At 38.7% G+C, this 22072-nt stretch overlaps 1 long non-coding RNA gene across 1 annotated transcript in view; it reads left to right on the top strand.

Moving 5' to 3' along the window:
• LOC101927421 (uncharacterized) overlaps positions 1 to 22072 on the top strand; it is a 330904-nt gene that overhangs the window by 114153 nt on the left and 194679 nt on the right. Inside the window, exons 3-4 of the long non-coding RNA NR_109882.1 lie at positions 7670 to 7839; positions 18555 to 18643. This is a non-coding gene — a long non-coding RNA (uncharacterized LOC101927421). The remainder of the gene's footprint in view (positions 1 to 7669; positions 7840 to 18554; positions 18644 to 22072) is intronic.

Raw genomic sequence — 22072 nt, forward strand, 5'->3', positions numbered from 1 at the left:
ACAGTTGCTAACTTAACATAAATTCCAGAAGAGCCAGGTTCCTTCCATTCATTTACTTTTCCATCCTTGGGTAGTAGTCTATGACATCTTTCTTACAGTCATACCTACAGGCTTCCCAGCAGGCATGAATCTCACCTTTTTTTGGGAGAATCTTGGAAAACCTCACAGTCTTCTTCTGTCTTATCTAGGCTGGAATTGGACCACAGGGTCGCCCTTAGACCAATCATTGGCAAAAAGGCAAGAACTCATCATGACTGGCTTATGTGAACCACAATTATCCTGGCTTTCTGCTTAATACTGCTTGTACAAAGAGATTTGTTAGTAAGGAATAATGAGGCTGGATGGGGGATGGGAGGGTCGGAGAAAGGGATAGCTGTTTGCCACACTTAATAACTGTTCAAAGCTTAAGTCATGTTTACAGAGGTCACTACTGCTGTGTTTAGACCTATGAAGTCAGCTGAAATGTTCTCAAATATTGATACATTATTCTTTATATTTTAAAATAGCACATTTTATTGCAATATTTTCTTCCTGAGTACAGTGAGCACTATGAAATATACTATTCTACACATGCAAAAGGGAAAACAGCAAAAGCTTAGAAGCAAGGAGAAGAAATTAAAAAGAGGGAAGGAAAAGGACAAAGACCAAATTGTAATGCATTTCACTTGCAAAATCTCTTTTCTTGTATAACAAATGCACTGCTTTGTGTTTTGACCTACTGATGGTGAATTATTTCCTCAGACTAAAACTCCAGAGCTCAGTGGGTGAAGGGTGAGAGTCAGTAGAGTATAATTCTGCAGAATCTAGCCAGTTAGCTAAATGAGTAAATATAGGAATGGAGAAAGCCCGTGTCTTTAGCCGTTAATCTTCTCACTCCTCTTACTCTTTGTGTAAGTTTGGTCCTCTATTTGTTCTGAGGTAGACCAAAAGTAAGCAGAAAAAGGTAATATAGAGAAGTAACTCTTTTATTCCAAGGGCAGCCTCTCAGTTGACAATTAACTCTTAGCTGCCAGTTCAAGCCTGGGGAAAATAATTATCCAAGACACTTCCTAGTTTACTTTGAAATTTAAAGGAAGCATAACTACCTGTTTTAGGGTTCTCTTGGGTACAAGTGACAGAAATTCATTTCAAACTGATTTAAACAAAACAGGATTTGTGGGAGGGGAGGAATATTGGAGCAACACAGAGACTCACAGGGAGAACTCAGTAACCCAGACTTGACCTGAGCCAGGGACCGTGAGTGGCCCTGCAAATCTACTCATGTTTCTGCCTCTTTATGAGTTTTCACTTCTTCTTTTTTTTTTTTTTTTTTTTTTTGGGACAAAGTCTCCCTGTGTTGCCCAGGCTGGCGTGCAGTGGTACAATCTCAGCTCACTGCAACCTCTGCCTCCTGGGTTCAAGCCATTCTCCTGCATCAGCTTCCTGAGTAGCTAAGACTACAGGCATGCGCCACCACGCCTGGCTAATTTTTGTATTTTTAGTAGAGATGGGGTTTTACCATATTGGCCAGTCTGGTCTCAAACTCCTGACCGCAAGGGATCTGCCTGCCTCAGCCTCCCAAAGTGCTGGGATTACAGGCGTAAGCCACTGTGCCCAGCCTCTTAACAGCGTTCTGTATGTGATGGGAGCCAGGGCCATGGGCAGTCTCTGAATCACATCCTTATTGCAACGTGATCAGAGAGGAAAGCACTATTTTCTCCAGGAAACGCTTGAAACATTCGGAGAAAGCACTCTCATTTCTCTGGCTTGGGTTATATGAGCATGTGTGGAGCAGCTACTATCAACCTCAGGTAGGATTTGGAGGGGTGACAAACAGTAGGGTGAGGAGCCCTGGGGTTGGTCCATCTCGGATTATGTTTTGCCATCATGGTTAGGAGTACCAGGATGGCACACACACTCCCCGACCAACACCCGCTAGGGCTGTGGCTGTGAAGAAATATTTCCGGGAGAAGGGAGTTGTGAGTGGTAAATGTCCACAATGACACAGGCGTCCCTCTTAGCATTCCTGAGGTAATAGTGTGTGTGGTTCTGACACGGAAAATGAGTGAACAGTGCTCCCCTGTTTTGTAATGAGCTGATGTGGACTCCACACAGTAAGAAAAAAAAAAACTCCATGGTGTGCGTGATGCAAGACCACCTTTGAGAACCAGTTTAAGATCTCTCTTAGGCCCTACACAACTGTACTGAAACTGTTCCCCTAGAAGTTATTAGGTCCTCCTAAATGCCGCTGCTCCTTTGTAGCCACACTTCCCCCGCTCATTCTGGTTAAACTCGCTGCAGCACTCTCATTTTCATTTATTCTGTCATTCAACAATATTATTTGATGCATCCTAGCGATTTGTTCAAAAGACAAGTTCCCTCTTCTCAGCAATACTTTCTGAGAGAAACAGGAAATGAAGTAAAGCAGAGATGGATCATTTAATTGCCACTTACAATAAGTACTATGAAGGAAATAAACAGGATACCGTGACAGAGAGTAAGTGTTTATGAAAGATCTGCCTACGTAGGATTTATTTGTCCATAATTCTTCTTAAGGAAAAGAAAGAAAGAAAAACAAAAAACGATAACAACAAAAAACAAACCTCTCCTCATGCATGGCTTTGGTAGTAGTCTCTCTCCTGGTCTGCCTTCAAGTTCTTTGATCTATCTTTCTCTGGACCGGCTTTCTCCTCTCTCTTTCTTTGTGACATAGGCAAATCCTGAGACCAAATAACGAATGAAGTGACTTCCCTTCTCTTAGTCCCTCTTTCTTACTCTGAGGGCCTTTCCTCATTTATCTTCTGCTTCCTGTTATTTCTCTTACTATGCATGAAAAGTAAATTACTGATCTTCTTTAAACCTCCTCTCCTAAGAGAAATGACTAAGAAAAAGCAAAGATTCTTGTTGGAAGACAACTGGTTAGGGAGAAGGAGGATTGTTTGGGGAGAGGTCTTTCCTACAGTTTTCATGTTGCCAAAGCAACACCTTAGTCCAACTTTTCTGAGTAGACATGCAACATATCAGAGTAAGACAGTCTTTATTTTTCCATTTGTATCCACTTTTACATTTTTCCATCTGTATTAGTTATTCCTGGTTCTGAACCTATTGATATGCTTATAAACGAATATTGTCATTACATTTCATCAATATATAACAGCAGGTGAGTAATGGTGTTAAAGAAACCTCAGTGCTGTTTGGGCTTGAGACACTTTTCTCTATCACTGGACATTATTAGTATCCTTTCTAACTTTCCTCAGCTTTCCATGCGGCTGAATGCCAGGCTACATATGCTCACCAGGCAACCAAAGTCCAGGATAAAGACCAAGCTCGTCATGTCTCAGCTGTCATGTTTTCTCTTGGGATGAGTTGGTCTTCATCTCATTTTCAAGCTGGCCCCATTGTTTTGTAGTGATGGAAATCTGTCACCAAAATCTTGGTGGGCCTTCCCAGAATCCAGGCTGTGCTGATGTAAGTTATGGGGCCAAAAGGAGTTGTGGCTTGGCAAAGTGACATTTTATTTAAAATATTCTGGTAATGTTTATAAAGCACATTAAGCACTTTTACAATATTTTAAAAATCAAGGAAAGTTACTTGGTATTATCACATGTCTTCCAAGGAAATTGTTTTGAAAGTTGTGGTCCAACATTCCTAAAAACAAATAATTAGATTCCTAGCCTTATAGCAATGGTGTGATCAGTCTCTCAGAGAGTGAGCATTTATTGGTCCCTCCCTCCCCTTTCTTACTCAGGCTACTCTCTAATCATATTTTGTTTTCTTTTCTAGTCTTCCCTCTGTTGCCACAATATTTTTTTGCTAGCAGCCTCAATTTTTCCAGCTGTTAGCTACTGGAGCTTTTTTTATTATGATACATTTTTCTGAAATCCCTAGACTCCTCTATTTCTTAGATCTGTCTTATAAGACAGCTCATGAAACAGACAATGGAGAGAATTTATTGAATGTTCACTGCGTGAACAGGAAAGGCCAAGGTAAGATGCAGAAATACTTATGGTCCAGTTGGGAGACACAATATAAATGCATGAAAATGACAAGCAGAGATGAAGCAAACAGTGCCAGTAAGTAGCTCCAGATGGATAATTGAGGGATATCCAGTGGGATCAGGTTCATTAGGGGAGATATTCTGGAAGAGAAAAATTGAGAGTGGAGGACAAAAGGAAGGACTGGAGCAAGACTACTGGGAACAGGAGAGAATGCTCTCATTATTGCCTCACAGAGAGTTATATGGCGATTCACCTGTGGAGCTTTGCTTCTAACAGTCACTTTAACAATAGCCTGCATAGCACTTGGACTCCTGAGTGCTAGACTGGCTTCCTAGCTCTGTGTGTGTATTAGTCTGTTCTTACACTGCTAATGAAGACATACCTGAGACTGGATAATTATAAAGGAAAGAAGTTTAATTGACTCACAGTGCCACATGGCTGGGGAGGCCTCACAATTATGGTGGAAGGCAAGGAGGAGCAAGTCACATCTTATATGGCAGCAGGCAGGAGAAGAATGAGAGTGAAGCAAAAAGGGAAACCCCTTATACAACCATCAGACCTCGTGAGATTTATTCACTGCCATGAGAACAGTATGGGTGAAACTGGCCCCATGATTCTATTATCTCTCACCAGGCCCGTCCCATAAAACGTGGGAATTATGGGAGCTGCATTTCAAGAGATTTGGGTGGGGACACAGCCAAAGCATATCAGTGGGTGAGTGAGAACCAGTGTCGTTAACTGTGCACTCCCACAACTGTTCATTAAGTCCTTTCAACTGGACATTTCTAAGGAAACTACGAGGTTAAGAGGTGGGTGTATATATTCATTTGCCTAGGGAGTTTGGTGAAATGGTAACTTTGAAAATGTTTTCTTTGCTAAAAAGATTTTGTTCCTGAAGCCTGTTCTTTGTGAAAAATATCATATCTCCCCATTTGGAAAATCACGTTGAATACAGAAAGTGGCAGCTTGTGAAAACACACACTCAACGTGTTTCTTACTTTCTCAAGGCGATAAACTATAGTTGATGAACTGCAAACCTCTCTGAATTATAGAACCTCTCTGCTAACCCGGGGGATTTTAACAGATTTTTAAACTTCTGTCTCTTAATTTTGTTTTTCTTCCCTTGGTAAGTGAATAAGTAGAGTTAACCTTACAATCAGATCAAACACTTCATTCTGATCCCAGGAAGCTTGGGTCCTTAGCACCTGGATTTTTAGCAGTTTATAGAATGTGCCAGGTGTTTACATGCATTCTTGCTTTTGCCTATGCTGCAATCTTGGCCTTGAATTTTGTTATCCTCTCTGCGTTATCTCATGGGCAAACATCTCCTGCTTATACTCCAAAAGTCACCTAATCTCACAACAGTCTCTTCTTTTAGAACTAAGCACTCTTTCCATTGTATTCTGGAAAACACATTGATCAGATCTCCTCTGTGGCCTTGGGGAACCATATTATCACGTGATGAGGGCGTGACTTTACGTCTCACCCTATTTGAACTCCTCAGAGATAGGAGTGTGTTTTATTATATTAATATTTCCTATCGTTAGCATTAAAAAAGGCAGATAGTGTTATGTCACGCTTACTAAACATGAACCAATAACCTGCTTTTTGTGAATCCTATGTTTCTTTAAGACCCATTTCACCTTTTGTAGGTTCTTGACAATAAGGGAGATTTCACCTAAATGTGTGTGACAATGCACAGAATTTCAAAATTTCCAATGAACTTGAGGTTATTGTTGCTCTCAGATTCTCTGGACACTTCTTTACCAAATTTGCCTTGACGTTTAAACACACAAAAGTCTGTGTTAACGTTGCCTCAATGCTCATAGCAGACTTTATTATTTCTTTTGCATGTTCATAAAAATCTCCAAAAATATGGGGGTTGTGGTAGATATTTAAAATAAAAAATAGTGAATGAGTTTGATATTGCAAAGTAATATATGGGAAAGTTGTTTATTTTGTGTAGTGCTTTCTAGTAAATATCTATTTTACTGTTTTACTTTCTCAAGGATACATACAATCAGTATTCTGCATTCTTTATTTTTGCTTCTCTTGGGTATTTTATTTGCATTTTATATTTATTTCCTAAAAGTCCTAAGTATCAGCATTCTTGCAGATTGTTGATGAACCAATGGAAAGGATTGAAATGTAGATAATGTTTATGCACATGTGTATATTTATGTACCTATTTAGCATTTATATAGAATCGAATTCATTGTAATTAAAAGGTTTTAGAGCTAAATACTTTGAGATCTGCTTTCAAGGGTTTAGTAATCTAGTGGTGAAAATAAGAATTGTTCAGAGAAAAAAATGATGTGGGAGTTCAGAGGGTGATATTTCTGTCACTCTGGGAAACAGTGGGACATTGAGAGACTTGACTTCCTTACTTCTACTTGAAAAAGAAAGGGACAGGATATTTTAAGTGCAGGAAAGTGTGCAAAGGCAAGGAGATGACTGATCTTTGGAACTGTAAGTCATTCAGTTTAGTTGGGGCTCAGAGTATAGTGGATTTTTCTCTAGCCAGGATGTTACCTGTTCAGCCACTTTAATTCATAAAACGGAATCTAAATTAAATTGAGAAAAGTAGTCAGATATTCTCCATTTTAAAGTGTAGACTTTGGTTGTTCACCCCTTGCTTTTGAAAAACAAACACCACAGATGAATCAATACGTAGAACATACACCAAATGCAAACCTGGCTTTAGTACAACTATAGAGGCACATTCCCTCCTTACTAATAACACATTCCTAAGGTAGCCAGTTTATAGGGATGCAATTCACAGCAAGAAATATAGGCTGTAGAAGAGCTGATTTCAGTGTTTATCCTAAAACAGTCAGGTATACACTCAGAACATTGAAATAGGGCAAGTTCTCCCTAGTTCTGCACCTTTGAATAATCAGAGTTGGGAGAAATGGATGTTGAGTGGCAATGGGAATTGAGGCTCTACCCTCATGTGCTTATAGCAGTATAGGTCTGAGGATAGTTGTGGTAGGAAGCACGGAAAACTAGATCAGAGGAAGAAGGGACACAAAAAACGGTAGCAGCAGGGTTAGCTCCAGGGCAGACCACAGAGTTGGCAAAGTCAAGCTTTGATAACCTTGCCTTTTTTCCTCTATCCCATATCACAATGGGTCAATGCTAACATCTCTTTCTGCAGGTTTTTATTTAAAGTTGGCTATTTAATAAGACCCAGGAGGCAGCTGGGAACCCAAGAATGAGCACTAGAATGAAAGACCTGTTTATTCCTCACTTTGCCACCGGCTGGTCACATGATCAGAACCCTTATTGTTAATTTTACCTTCATCCTAAATAGCCCTCCTCTGTGCTCCCACAGCAGGCTCACAAGCATACCTTTTTCATTATATCCCAAAGACTGTATTGACTATGCCACAGGAGTCCTTCCAGAAGCACTTTTACTGTAAGATAAGTTTTTCTTTTTAAGGGTGAAAAAGCCCTTGAGGTCACAAGGGATTCATTGATAAAGGTGTATTGATAGATGGTGTGAATGATGTTTGAGCATCTTACCTTGTGACACAACAAACTAATATTTGTGGGTAATTGCCTTCTTCACTCATCTACCCTAGACCAGTCCTCCCTCCCTCCCTCCCTCCCTTCCTTTCCTTCCCCTTCCCCTTCCTTCCTTCTTTCCTTCCTTCCATCCTTCCTTCCTTTTTTTCTTTAATTCTTGTCAGAAAAATAGTTGCAATGTGAATCTAAGAAAATAAAGATGTGGAGTACACAGAGCTTTGCTTCAGATTCTCTGGACTAAAGACTGACACTCATCTAGATGCCAAAGATCCCATCAGTCACCACATTTTTTAGACTTCTGACTGCTAAGAAATATTTTGGATCTTCAGAATAGGTATCCTTTGGGGGAAAGAAAGGGATATATATTTTTTTGTTGACCCTTGCTACTTAAGTCTAGAAATTATGAAAGGGAAAAATTTGAAAACTGTTACTATGGTAGGACAGTATGCCTATTCCTTTCGTCTTCTGTTCTGTACATCTTCCCTCTGTTAAAATGAGATTTGGCTACTAATGTTAAGAAAAATATTTCTGGCCGGGCACGGTGGCTAACACCTGTAATCCCAGAACTTTGGGAGGCAGAGGCAGTCAGATCACCTGAGGTCAGGAGTTCAAGACCAGCTTGGCCAACATGGTGAAATCCCGTCTCTACTAAAAATACAGCCAAGTGTGGTGGCGGGCACCTGTAATACCAGCTACTCGGGAGGCTAAGGAAGGAGAACTGCTTGAACCTGGGAGGTGGAGGTTGCAGTGAGACAAGATTGTGTCATTGCACTCTAGCCTGAGCAATAAAAGTGAAGCTCCATCTCAAAAACAAACAAACAAACACACACACACACACACACACACACACAACAAGAAAAATGTTTCTGTCTTTTAGAAGCTGCACTCTCAAGACCAAGTACACTTTCAAAAGAGAAGACTGAAGAAATCTGAGTTCATCATCCCAGGACCCTGGAAATAGCGTAGGGTTAGGGTAAGTGCAGAGTTGTAGGAAAAATAGTCTAAACAAAGACATGGAGCAAGAAGAGGAAAGAGAATAAGACAGCAAAGAAAACCATCATCATTGCTTCTCACAGGATGGCTGTGTTTGGATTAAAGACTGCCAGGCTGGACAAAGCCAGTAAACATACTACAGTGTTTTCTAGTCTACATCTATGTTTGTGAATGGCTAATAGCAAGATGACTATTATTAGACTGTTCCTATATACTCTTGCAAACTTTGTGGTGCACAATAGGCAATGTGTAATAAGAAATAATCCATTAAGTGAGAAGAATGGAAAATTTATTTGTAGCCTTTTAACCTAATGAAAGGATAGAACATTAAAATTAATTAATTATCATTGGAAAAAAGCATACCATGGGCTGAAATCAATGAATTTAAAAACAGAAAATCAATAGAGAAAATCAACAAAACCAAAAGCTGGTTTTTTGAAAAGACCAATGAAATCAATAAATCTCTAGTCTGGCTAAGAAAAAAGAGGAAAGACCCAAATTACTAATATCAGAAATAAAAGAGGGGCCATCACTCCAGATCCTCTGGACATTAAAGGAATTATAAACGAATAGTATAAATAATAACCATGTCTACAAACTTCATAACCTAAGTGAAATGGACAAATTTCTTGAAAGACACAATCTGCCAAAACTCACACAAGAAAGACTAGGCAGTCTGAGTAGGCCTGTACCTATTAAAGAAATTGAATCAATAATTAATAACCTTTCAAAGAAAGCACAAGGTCCAGATGGATTTAGTGGTGTATTCTATGAAAACTTTAAGGAAGAAATTATCCTAATTATCTATAATGTCTTCCAGAAAATACAAGGAGAGGGACTATATCCTAACTCTTTCTAAGAAGCCAGATTAATACCAAAACTAGACAAAGACACTGTGAGAAAATAACCCGGTGGAAGGGCCAAGATGGGTGAATAGAAACAGCTCCGGTCTGCAGCTCCCAGCAAGACCGATGCAGAAGGTGGGGGATTTCTGCATTTCCAACTGAGGTACCCAGTTCATCTCATTGCGACTGGTTAGGCAGTGGGTGCAACCCACAGAGAGTGAACAGAAGCAGGGTGGGGCATTGCTTCACCTGGGAAGTGCACAGAGCTGGGGGACCTCCACCTCCCCAAGCCAAGGGAAGCAGTGAGGGACTGTGCTACCCGCCCTGGGGTACTATGCTTTTTCCATGGATTTTTGTAATCCGTTGCTCAGGAAATTCCCTCATGAGCCTACACCACCAGGTCCCTGGGTTTCGAGTACAAAACTGAGTGGCTGTTGGGCAGGCACTGAGCTGTAGGGTTTTTTTTTTTCTCCATACTCGAGTAGCACCCGGAACTCCAGTGAGACAGGAGAATCGTCCACTCCCTTGGAAAGGGGGCTGAAGCCAGGGAGCCAAGAGGTCTCGCTTAGCATGTCTCACTCCCATGGAGCCCAGCAAGCTAAGAAGCTCTGGCTTGAAATTCCCACTGCCAGCACAGCAGTCTGGAGTCGGCCTGAGTTTGGTGAGGGGAGGGGCGACCACCATTACTGTGCCTTTAGTAGGTGGTTTTCCCCTGACAGTGCTAAAGAGACTGGGAGGTTGGGACTGGGTGGAACTCAGCACAGTGCAGCAAAGTAGCTGTGCCAGACTGCCTCTCTAGATTCCTCCTCACTGGGCAGGGCATTTCTGAAGGAAACCCAGCAGCTCCAGTCAGAGGCTTACAGACAAAACTCTCATCTCCCTGGGACAGAGCACCTAGGGGGAGGGGTAGCTGCGGTCACGGCTTCAGCCAGGCTTAATCTTTCCTGCCTGCTGGCTCTGAAGAGAGTGGCTGATCCTGACAAGGGCGATTCTTCCAGCTCAGCACACCAGCTCTACTAAGGGACAGACTGCTTTCTCAAGTGGGTCCCTGCCATCGCCATGCCTCCTGACTGGGAGAGACCTCCCAACAGGTGTTGATAGACACCTCATACAGGAGACCTCTGGCTGGCATCAGGCCAGTGCCCCTCTGGGATGAAGCTTCCAAAGGAAGGAGCAGGCAGCAATCTTTGCTATTCTGCAGCCTCCACTGGTGATACCCAGGCAAACAGGGTCTAGAGTGGACCTCCAGCTAACTGCAGCAGTCCTGCCGAAGAGGGGCCTGTTAGAAGAAAAAAATTAACAAACAGAAAGCAACAACAACATCAACAAAAAAGAGTGCCCCACAAAAACCCCATCCAACAGTCAACAGCCTCAAAGATAAAAAGTAGATAAATCCATGAAGATGAGGAAAAAACAGCACAAAAACGCTGAAAATTCCAAAAGCCAGAATGCCTTTTCTCCTCCAAATGATCACAACTCCTCTCCAGCAAGGGCATGAAACTGGAGGGAGAGTGAGATTGATGAATTGACAGAAGTAGGCTTCAGAAGATGGGTAATAAAAAACACCTCTGAGCTAAAGGAGCATGTTCTAACCCAATGCAAAGAAGCTAAAAACATTGATAAAAGGTTACAGGAGTTGTTAACTAGAATAACCAGTTTAGAAAGGAACATAAATGACCTTATGGAGCTGAAAAACACAGCACAAAAACTTTGTGAAGCATACACAAATATTGATAGCCAAATCGATCAAGCAGTAGAAAGGATATAAGAGTTTGAAGACCATCCTGCTGAAATAAGGCATGCAGACAAGATTAGAGAAAAAAAGAATGAAAAGGAACAAACAAAGCCTCCAAGAAATATGGTACTATGTGAAAAGACTGAACCTATGATTGATTGGAGTACCTGAAAGAGATGAGAATGGAACCAAATTGGAAAACACACTTCAGGATATTATCCAGGAGGACTTCCCAACCTAGCAGGACGGGCCAACATTCAAATTCAGGAAATACAGAGAACACCACTAAGATACTCCATGAGAAGATCAACCCCAAGACACATAATCATCAGATTCTCCAAGGTCAAAATGAAGAAAAAAAATGTTAAGGGCAGCCAGAGAGAAAGGCCAGGTCACCTACAAAGGGAAGCCCATCAGACTAACAGTGGATCTCTCAGCAGAAACCCTACAAATCAGAAGAGAGAGGGGGCCAATATTCGACATTGTTAAAGAGACAATTTTCAACCCAGAATTTCATATCCAGCCAAATTAGGCTTCATGAGCAAAGCAGAAATACAGTCCTTTCTATATAAGCAAATGCTGAGGGATTTCATCACCACCAGGCCTGCCTTGCAAGAGCTCCTGAGGGAAGTACTAAATACGGAAAAGAAAAACAGGTACCAGACACTGTAAAAACACACCAAAATATAAAGACCAGTGACACTATGACGGAACTGTATCAACTAGTGTGCAAAATAACCAGATAGCATAATTATGACAGCATCAAATTCACACATAACAATATTAACCTCAAATGTAAATGGGCTAAATGCCCAAATTGAGAGACTGGGAAATTGGATAAAGAGCCAAGACCCATTGGTATGCTGTATTCAGGAGTCCTATCTCACATGCAAAGACACACATTGGCTCAAAATAAAAGGATGGAGGAAAATTTACCAAGCAAATGGAAAGCAAAAAAGTAGGGGTTGTAATCCTAGTCTCTGATAAAACAGACTTTAAGCCAACACAGATAAAAAAAAAGGACAAAGAAGGGCATTACATAATGATAAAGGAATCAATGCAACAAGAAGAGCTAACTATGCTAAATATATATGCACCCAATACAGGAGCACCCAGATTCATAAAACAAGTTCTTAGAGATCTATTAAGAGACTTAGACTCCCACACAATAATAGTGGGAAAGTTTAATACCACTGTAAATATTGGACAGATCAATGAGACAGAAAATTAACAAGGATATTCAGGACTTAAATTCAGCTCTTGATCAAGTGTACCTAATAGACATCTACAGAACTCTGCATCCTATATCAACAGAATATACATTCTTCTCAGTGCCACATGGCACTTATTCTAAAATCAACCACATAGTTGGAAGTAAAACACTCCTCAGCAAATGCAGAAGAATGGAAATCGTAACAAACAGGCTCTCAGACCACAGTGCAATCAAATTAGAACTCAGGATTAAGGAACTCACTTAAAACCACACAACTACATGGAAATTGAACAACCTGCTCCTGAGCGAATCCTGGGCAAATAAAGAAATTAAGGCAGAAATCAAGATGCTCTTTGAAAACAATGAGAACAAAGAGACAATGTACCAGAATCTCTAGGACACAGCTAAAGCAGTGTTAAGAGGGAAATTTATAGCACTAAATGCCGGCATCAGAAAGCTGGAAAGATTTCAAATTGACACCGTAACATCACAATTAAATGAACCAGAGAAGCAAGAGCATACTAACCTAAAAACTACCAGAAGATAAGAAATAACTAAACTCAGAGCAGAAATGAAGGAGATAGAGACATGAAAAACCCTTGAAAAAATCGATCAATCCAGGAGCTAGCTGGCTTTTTGAAGAAATTAACAAAATAGATAGACGCTAGCTAGACTAATAAAGAAGAAAAGAGAGAAGAATCAAACAGATAATAAAAAATGATAAAGGGGATATCACCACTGACCCCACAGAAATACAAACTACCACAACAGCATGCTATGAACACCCCTACAGAAATAAACTAGAAAATCTAGAAGAAATGGATAAATTCCTGGACACATACATCCTCCCAAGACTAAACCAGGAAAAAGTTGAATCCCTGAAATGACAAATAACAAGTTCTGAAATTGAGGCAGTAATTAATAGCCTACCAACCAAAAAAAGCTCAGGACCAGATGGATTCACAGACGAATTCTACCAGAGGTACAAAGAGGAGCTAGTACCATTCCTTCTGAAACTATTCCAAACAATTGAAAAGGAGGGACTCCTCCCTAACTCATTTGATGAGGCCTGCATCATTCTGATACCAAAACCTGTTAGAGACACAACAAAAAAAGAAAACTTCATGCCAATATCCTCCATGAACATCGATGCAAAAATAAAATACTGGCAAACCAAATCCAGCAGCACATCAAAAAGGTTATCCAACATGATCAAGTTGGCTTCATCTGTGGGATGCAAGGCTGGTTCAACATACACAGATCAATAAACATAACCCAACACATAACATCAGTCATAACAGAACTGATGACAAAAACCACATGATTATCTCAATAGATGCAGAAAAAGGCTTTGATAAAATTCAACATCCCTTTATGTTAAAAACTCTCAATAAATTAGGTATTGATGGAATGTATCTCAAAATAATAAGAGCTATTTATGACAAACCCATAGACAATATCATACTGAATGGGCAAAAGCTGGAAGCATTCCCTTTGAAAACCAGCTCAAGACAAGGATGCCCTCTCTCACCACTCCTTTTCAACATAGTGTTGAAAGTTCTGGCCAGGGCAGTCAGGCAAGAGAAAGAAATAAAGTAAGGGTATTCAAATAGGAATAGAAGAAGTCAAATTGTCTCTGTTTGCAGATGACATGATTGTATATATAGTTATCCCCATTGTGTCGCTGCCAAAACTCCTTAAGCTGATAAGCATAGTCTCAGGATACAAAATCAGTGTGCAAAAATCACAAGCATTCCTGTACACCAACATGACAAGCAGACAGCCAAATCATGAATGAACTCCCATTCACAATTGTTACAAAGAGAATAAAATACCTAGGAATACAGCTGACAAAAGATGTGAAGGACCACTTCAAGGAGGTCTACAAACCACTGCTCAAGGAAATAAGAGAGGACACAAACAAATGGGAAAACATTCCATCCTCTTGGATAGGAAGAATCAATATCATGAAAATGGCCATACTGCCCAAAGTAATTTATAGATACAATGCTATTTCCATCAAGCTACCTGACATTCTTCACAGAATTAGAAAAAATTACTTTAAATTTCATATGGAACCAAAAAAGAGCCCATATAGCCAAGACAATGCTAAGCAAAACAAACAAAGCTGGAGGTATCACGCTACCTGACTTCAAACTATGTTACAAGGCTACAGTAACCAAAACAGCATGGTACTGGTACCAAAACAGACATAATAGACCAATGTAACAGAACAGGCACCTCAGAAATACCACCACACAACTACAACCATCTGATCTTCAACAAACCTGACAAAAACAAGCAATGGGGAAAGGATTCCCTATTTAATAAATGGTGCTGGGAAAACTGGCTAGCCATATGCAGAAATCTGAAACTTGACCCCTTCCTTACACTTTATACCAAAATACCTCAGATGCATTAAAGACTTAAATGTAAAACTCAAAACCATAAAAACCCTGGAAGATAACCTAGGCAATACCATTCAGGACATAGGCGTGGGCAAAGACTTATGACAAAAACACCAAAAGCAATTGCAACAAAAGCCAAAATTGACAAATGGGTTCTAATTAAACTAAAGAGCTTCTGCACGGCAAAAGAAAAGATCATTAGAGTGAACTGGCAACCTATAGAATGGGAGAAAAGTTTTGCAATCTACTCATCTGACAAAGGTCTAATATCCAGAATTTACAGGGGACTTAAACAAATTTACAAGAAAAAAAAAACATCAAAAAGTGGGTGAAGGATATGAACAGACACTTCTCAAAAGAAGACATTTATGTGGCCAAAAAACATATGAAAAAAAGCTCATCATCACTGGTCATTAGAGAAATGCAAATCAAAACCACTATGAGACACCATCTCATGCCAATCAGAATGACGATCATTAAAAAGTTAAGAAACAATAGATGCTGGTGAGGCTGTGGAGAAATAGGAATGCTTTTACACTGTTGGTGGGAATGTAAATTAGTTCAACCATTGTGGAAGACAGCGTGGTGATTCCTCAAGGATCTAGAACCAGAAATACCATTTGACCCAGCAATCCCATTACTGGGTATATACCCAAAGGAATATAAATCATTCTAAAGACACATGCACACGTATGTTTATTGCAGCACTATTTACAATAGCAAAGACATGGATCCAAACAAAATGCCCATCAATGATAGATAGATAAAGAAAATGTGATACATATATACCTTGTGATACTATACAGCCATAAAAAAGGAAGAGTTCATGTCCTTTGCAGGTATATGGATGAAGCTGGAAGCCATCATCCTCAGCAAACTAACACAGGAACAGAAAACCAAACACTGCATGTTCTCACTCATAATTGGGAGTTGAACAATGAGAACACATGGACTCAGGGAGGGGAACAACACACACTGGGACCTGTTGGGGAGTCAGGGGGGAAGTGGGGAAGAGCATTAGGACAAATACCTAATGCATGCAGGGCTTAAAACCTAGATGAGGGGTTGTTACGTGCAGCAAACCACCATGGCACATGTGTACCTATGTAACAAACCTGCATGTTCTGCACATGTATCCCAGAACATAAAGCAAAATAAAAATAAAAAATAAAAACAAACTTTTAATTTCCAAAAAAGAGAAAATAACCCTACAGACCAATATCTTTCATGTACATAGATCCAAAATTCTCAACAAAATATTAGCAAATTGAACCCACCAAGGTTAAAAAAAAAAAAAAGAATTATACACCCCAATCAAGTGTGATTTATTCCAAGTATGCATGGCTGATTCAACATTCAAAAATCAATTAATGTAGATTAATCACATCAAGAAGTCAAAGAAGAAAGATTATATGAACGTAACAATAGATGGAGAAAATTATTTGACAAAGTTCAATAATCTTCATGATAAAATCTCTTACCAAATTAGGAATAGAGAGAATTTCCTCAACTAAATAACACCTACAAAAAACCACCTAAAGCTAACATACTTAATGATGAGAAACTCAATGCTTTCCCTCTAATGTCAGGAACAAGTTGAGAAGGCCCCCTCTCACCACTGCTTTTCAACATCGTACTGGAAATTCCTAGCTAATGCAATAAGACAAGAAATTGAAATAAAGACATGTGGATTGGAATGGAATAAGTAAATATATCTTTGTTTACAGATAACATTTGTCTGTGAAGATAATCCAAAAGATACAACAACAACAACAACCCCCATATCCAAAACAAAAACAAAAATCTCTTCTGGAATGAATAAGTAATTCTAACAAGGCTGCAGGATATGGGGTTAATATACAAGAGACAACTGCTTTTCTATATACCAGCAATAAACAAATGAAACTCAAAATTAAAAATACATTACCATTTACAACACCCTCCCAAAATAACATACTTTGGTATAACCCAATATGTACAAATTCTATTTGAAGGAAACAATAAAACTCTCTGAAAGATATCAAGGAACTAACTAAATGGAGAGCTATTCCATGTTCATGGAGGGAAAGATTTAATATTGTCAGGATGCCAGTCTTCCCAACTTGATCTACAGATTCAATGCAATCACAATCAAAATCACAATAATTTTTTAGAAATAATCAAACTGATTCTAAACTTTATATGGAGAGACAAAAGACCCAAAATAACCAAATCAATAATGAAGGAGAGGAACAAAGTTAGAGGAGTAACACTAATTGTCTTCCAGTCTTACTACAAAGCTACAATAATCAAGTTAGTGTTGTGTTGCCAAAAGAATAGATACTGGGGGAATTGAGATACCAGTGGAAATAGGGAAACTGAGATATCACTGGAATTTTTTCTTGAAAAAACATTTCTAAATGGGTTTGATTTTTGAATCACATAAAAGTTTGAAGTATTCAAATATTTATGAAAAATGGTGAAAAACATAAACTCTTTGATTACAAATATTAAGAAATGGACCTAATGTATACCAAGTTATTCTGTAAACACATAGGGAAAATGATGTATTTAAGTTACTTTTCCTATAATATTACATAAATCCTTAGCGAAATATGGTCATAGGAAAGAACCACGCAATCAAATCTTGCACCTTACTTTGTAGTTTAGCTATTATTAATGGTGTTTATGTTGCATTGATGCAATGTGTAAATACATTAATGTTGCTGGAAACCAGACTGTCTGCTGTGGAAGCAGAGAGAAACAAATATAAAACAGGGAATGTGAAGAAGAATCTGTGGTGGTAGACTTGAATTAGAGGCATCGATATGAGTACTTACAAACTTGTGATTTAAACATTTTATAGTAATTTTAAAGTTTTATGCCATTTGCTTCTGTGATTGCTTGAAACTTAGGAATATATTCCCCTACCTCCTGGCCTCCCACCCTGATGCAGTTCTGTCTATTAAAATGCCTGGCGTCAGTTACACCCAAGTAGCCACGAGCACACTTAGAACCCAGATCTTGGGCCAGGAGCAGTGGCTCATGCCTGTAATCCCAGCACTTTGGGAGGCTGAGGCGGGCAGATGGCCCGAGCTCAGGGGTTCACGACCAGCCTGGGCAACATGGTGAAACCCCGTCTCTACTAAAATACAAAAAATTAGCCGGGCGTGGCAGCGTGTGCCTGTAGTCCCAGCTACTTGGGAGGCTGAGGCAGGAGAATTGCTTGATCCTGGGAGGCAGAGGTTGCAGTGAGCTGAAATCGTGCCACTGCATTCCAGCCTGGGCAACACAGCAAGACTCCATCTCAAAAACTTAAAACAAAACAAACAACAACAACAACAACAACAAAACCCCCAGATCTTCATTGCTAAATAGCATTGTCTACTAAAGGGAACCAGCATTTTTGGGGAAAGGTGGATTCTTCCAGGGGCAGGGAATGTACCTGGTAAGCCTCAGACACCACGTGCCAGAAATCAAGGAAGTGATCAAATCCAAATGGGGCTAAGTCAAAAGAATAAAAGGGCTAGCTTGAAGGCCTCCAATAGGAAAATGATGTACAATTTGGAATTTAAATAATAATATTAACAACAATGGATTAAAATGCCAATAAATCATAGTGAAAGAGAGAGAGAGAGAAGGGAAAAGATTTTTCTCTACAGATGAATGCCAGAAAATAAATCTAAAATAAATGATAGAATTAGAAAATCACCATTTTACATGTCCCCAATGTAATAAGTGATTCAGGCAAAGATTATCAATAGATAATAATACTATTGGATGAATATTACTAAGGAATAAGATAGTCATGCAATCTCGAAGTATCATTTGTCAATTACTTATTAACTACAAAGAGAAAATTGTACCTTGTTACAGAGACATCTGGCAGTCACCAGCTGAACAAAATCTTCAAACTTTGCACCACCATCATGGGACAGCCTGACATATGTGCACCTTGAGATAAGGTAGTAAAAAGAACACAGTCTAATTCTGTAATGTTCCAGGCAAAAGTCTTTAACCTGAGTCTTATGAGGAATACATGAAACTAATCCAAAGTGTGTGATATATTCTTTATGATAACTACCTGGAATCTTCAAAAACTGTTCTAAAATCAGAGAAGGTAAAGGCAATGTTATAGATCAGAAATCAGTAAACTTTTTCTGTGAAGGGCAGATAGCAAATGTGTCATGCTTTGTGGGTCACATAGAAGTCTCTGTTGTATATTCTTCTTTCTTTTTTCTTCTTCTTTGTTTTTTGTCCGTGTAGTTTGGCTTTACAACTCTTAAGAAATGTAAAGATCCTTCTTAGCTTGAGATACAAGAACAGACCATGCAGGATTGGTCTGTGAGCCACAGTTTACTTACTAACTGTTGTCCTAGAGTAAAAGAAAATGACAAGACATAACAACCAAATGTAATTTGTGAACCTTGATTAAAAAACAAAACACCTATAAAAGTCATTTTTGAACTAGCAGGAGAAATTCAAATGTGTTCTGTATATTAGAAGATATTTTTGAATTATTGCTTCTTTTCTATATGATCATAGTGTTATGATTATATTGGAAGATGTCCTTCTTAAGCAATGCCTGCCAAAATATTCTGAAGGGAAGCATCATAATGGCCACAATTTACTTTGAAATTTTTCAGGGAAGAAAATAGAAATAAAAGATACTAGGAGTCAATAAGTGTTCTTAAATGATTGAATGGATGTACATCCAATTTACCCATTCTTTTGCAAATATACTTGGAGAGCTAAAAGATCATAAAAAATCAATTGCCAGATTCTATGCAGAAATGGATGAAATCAAACCTTTGGAATTGAGTTTAGATTTGATTTATTAGTATGGGAAGATTTGGGTCATACTTGAATGGTCAGAGAGGAAGAAAAAATTGATCAGCTTTAGAGTAAAAAGAAGGTATTAAGAGAAATCATAATGACAAATTATTTTTTAAGTTTCTAATCAGAATGCTGGATCTATAAATTCCACAGAGACTATTACTCAAACGTGTTCATTTTGCAGATAAGGAAACCACTGCCTAGACAGGCTTTGCTGTGTGTCAAAATTTATCAAACAGTTAGTGTAAGAACAGGGACTATAATGTACCGTATGTCTGTCTTTTCACTATACTATAGCTACTTAATACAGCCCAAAGGTATAGATGTGATAAAGCCCTCATTGACCTTAATTTATAAGATTGGCTTTCCTAGCAATCCCTTCAAATACAGCAAAATGTTCAATACATTTTTTTTTCTATATGTGACTATCACTAGATAAAGACAGAATAAATAACAAGTTGAATAATTTACTAATTTGCTGGAAATTATCCAGTAAATTCAGGCTATGTGTGCAAACGTTAGGGCAAAAATGTTATTAAATATACTGCCTTCTGCCTCTCAAATAAACAAACTCAGAGGGCACTCAACTTTGTGAGGTTAGAGAAAAGAACTCTGGTGTTGTTTGTTTGTGATTTACGTTGTAAAGCACAGAAGTACTTAGACAGGAGATCTATTTGCAAAAGTCTGATTATCTTGTAGAGGCTCCTTCCTAGGTCAGAAGAGCTTTTCCTTGCTGTCACAATGAAAGTGGAACTTGATGGCATCTAATGAACGATTTAAAGATATCACATTCAAAGCTAAGGGGAATGAGAGTTAGGATCCTGGGAGAGGGAGGAATTGGAGGGATGTGAGGTACAGAAATCCATAGTAGAAAGAAACTCAGCAGAGAAGATGTGAAGTGGAGGAGTTTTCCTCCCTTCCAGAGACAAAAGGGATAATTTTATGGTTTGCTTTGAGAGACAGAGTGAAGAATCCAGGTGCTCTGAAGATTCACTTGCATTTGATGGATGTGAATTCCTTCCAGTTTTATATTCAAAAGTACTTCTTTATTTTTAAAAAAAAAAGAATTGTGAGGATTTGTGTGTCGATAGTAACCTTAAATCTCTAGTAGCTAGAATTAGTAAAGTTCTAATTATCTTATATTGGAGTTTTACATCCAAGGACACCTCTATTAAAAGGAGGTTTCTGTGTGGTCTGTTGTAAAGATGGCTTTGATGTCTTTACCAAAAGGTGTCTTTTCACTGTAAAAAGAATGGAGCAGTGGCTGCCCGTGGCTGCCTTCAGTGTGAGAATGTGCTGGAATATTTTATTGTTGGGGTGGCATTGAAGTTCTGCTGTGAAATGATTTTTATGAATGCTATTCCCTGGGAGGCTCACAGAACTGAGAATTTCATGTCATGAGGCCATGATCCCAGGGAGCAGAAATCAAATAAATAAAGGTCTTGGGGAATTATGGTCTATGGGATATATTTTCTTCTCAAAATGAGTCCATAGTTCACTTTGATGGTAAGTTTAAATGGATCATATGAGAGCAGAAAAACACATCTATCTTTAAGTGGTAACAAACTTCCATTTAAGAATTTCCCCTGTAAAAATAATATCTGAGGTCTAAAATTCAAGAAAAAACATAAGACAAGAAAAGAGAATAGTTATTATCGTAAAGGAAGATGGTTTAGGATACAGCTTTAAAGCTTTTGATTTAATGATATTTATATTTAGGAAATGGAAAGTGGCAATTTGGAGCATCGTATTCCATAAGGTTATATGCTTGAGGGCTCTTTTCTAACAGCCATATTAAAAGGGTTTCTCCTTAAGGAGAAGTAGGTTAATTTCAAGAAAGAAGAGCCAAAAATAGGTTGCCTATAGCTGAAGACCAAGGAACCAACTTTAACTTGAAGCAGAATGGAGAGAACTGCTGGTTATGTTCTGTATCAATGCAATTATCTCTATAGCAGAATAATTTGAAAATATTTTTTAAAATATGAATTATTACATCCTGACCCCACAAAAATTCTGAGCAAATGTTTAGTAGGTCCGGCTCAAGGAAACTGTATCATTATCTTCTAGGAAGTGATAGGGAGGACGTTTTAGAACACAGTGGGAGAACAATAATTAACAAAAGCTTCATATTCAAATTTGAGACACAGACCGCCTTCAAACATTCCTATTCTGAAAGACTATTAGGCTGACTTATCCATTGATAATAACAATGATTTGGACAACTTTTGTAATATGGATCGAAACTCTAAATAATTGAGACCATTTGTAGTCATTAGCAGAACCCAAGTCATTGAAATATAAGAGTAATACATAGCGGATTTTTCAATCTGTAGTAAAAGGAAAAGAAAGTTTTGGAGTATGTTTTTCCTGCCAGAGTGTTATGAGAGTCAAATGTGAGATATTTGGTAAGAGAACACTGAAAAACTCTACTCTACACAAATGTTAGAAAAAATTAATGCCAAGCACTAGTGAATGCCCAATGTATGTGATTTTAGTGGATTTTAAGCATTTAAAATTGTCTGCTTGTAATTTTTCCATCCTATTGTATAGATAGTCTA

The sequence above is a fragment of the Homo sapiens genome, chromosome 5 (assembly GCF_000001405.40).
Source record: "Homo sapiens chromosome 5, GRCh38.p14 Primary Assembly".
In the NCBI taxonomy this organism is placed as follows: Eukaryota; Metazoa; Chordata; class Mammalia; order Primates; family Hominidae; genus Homo; species Homo sapiens.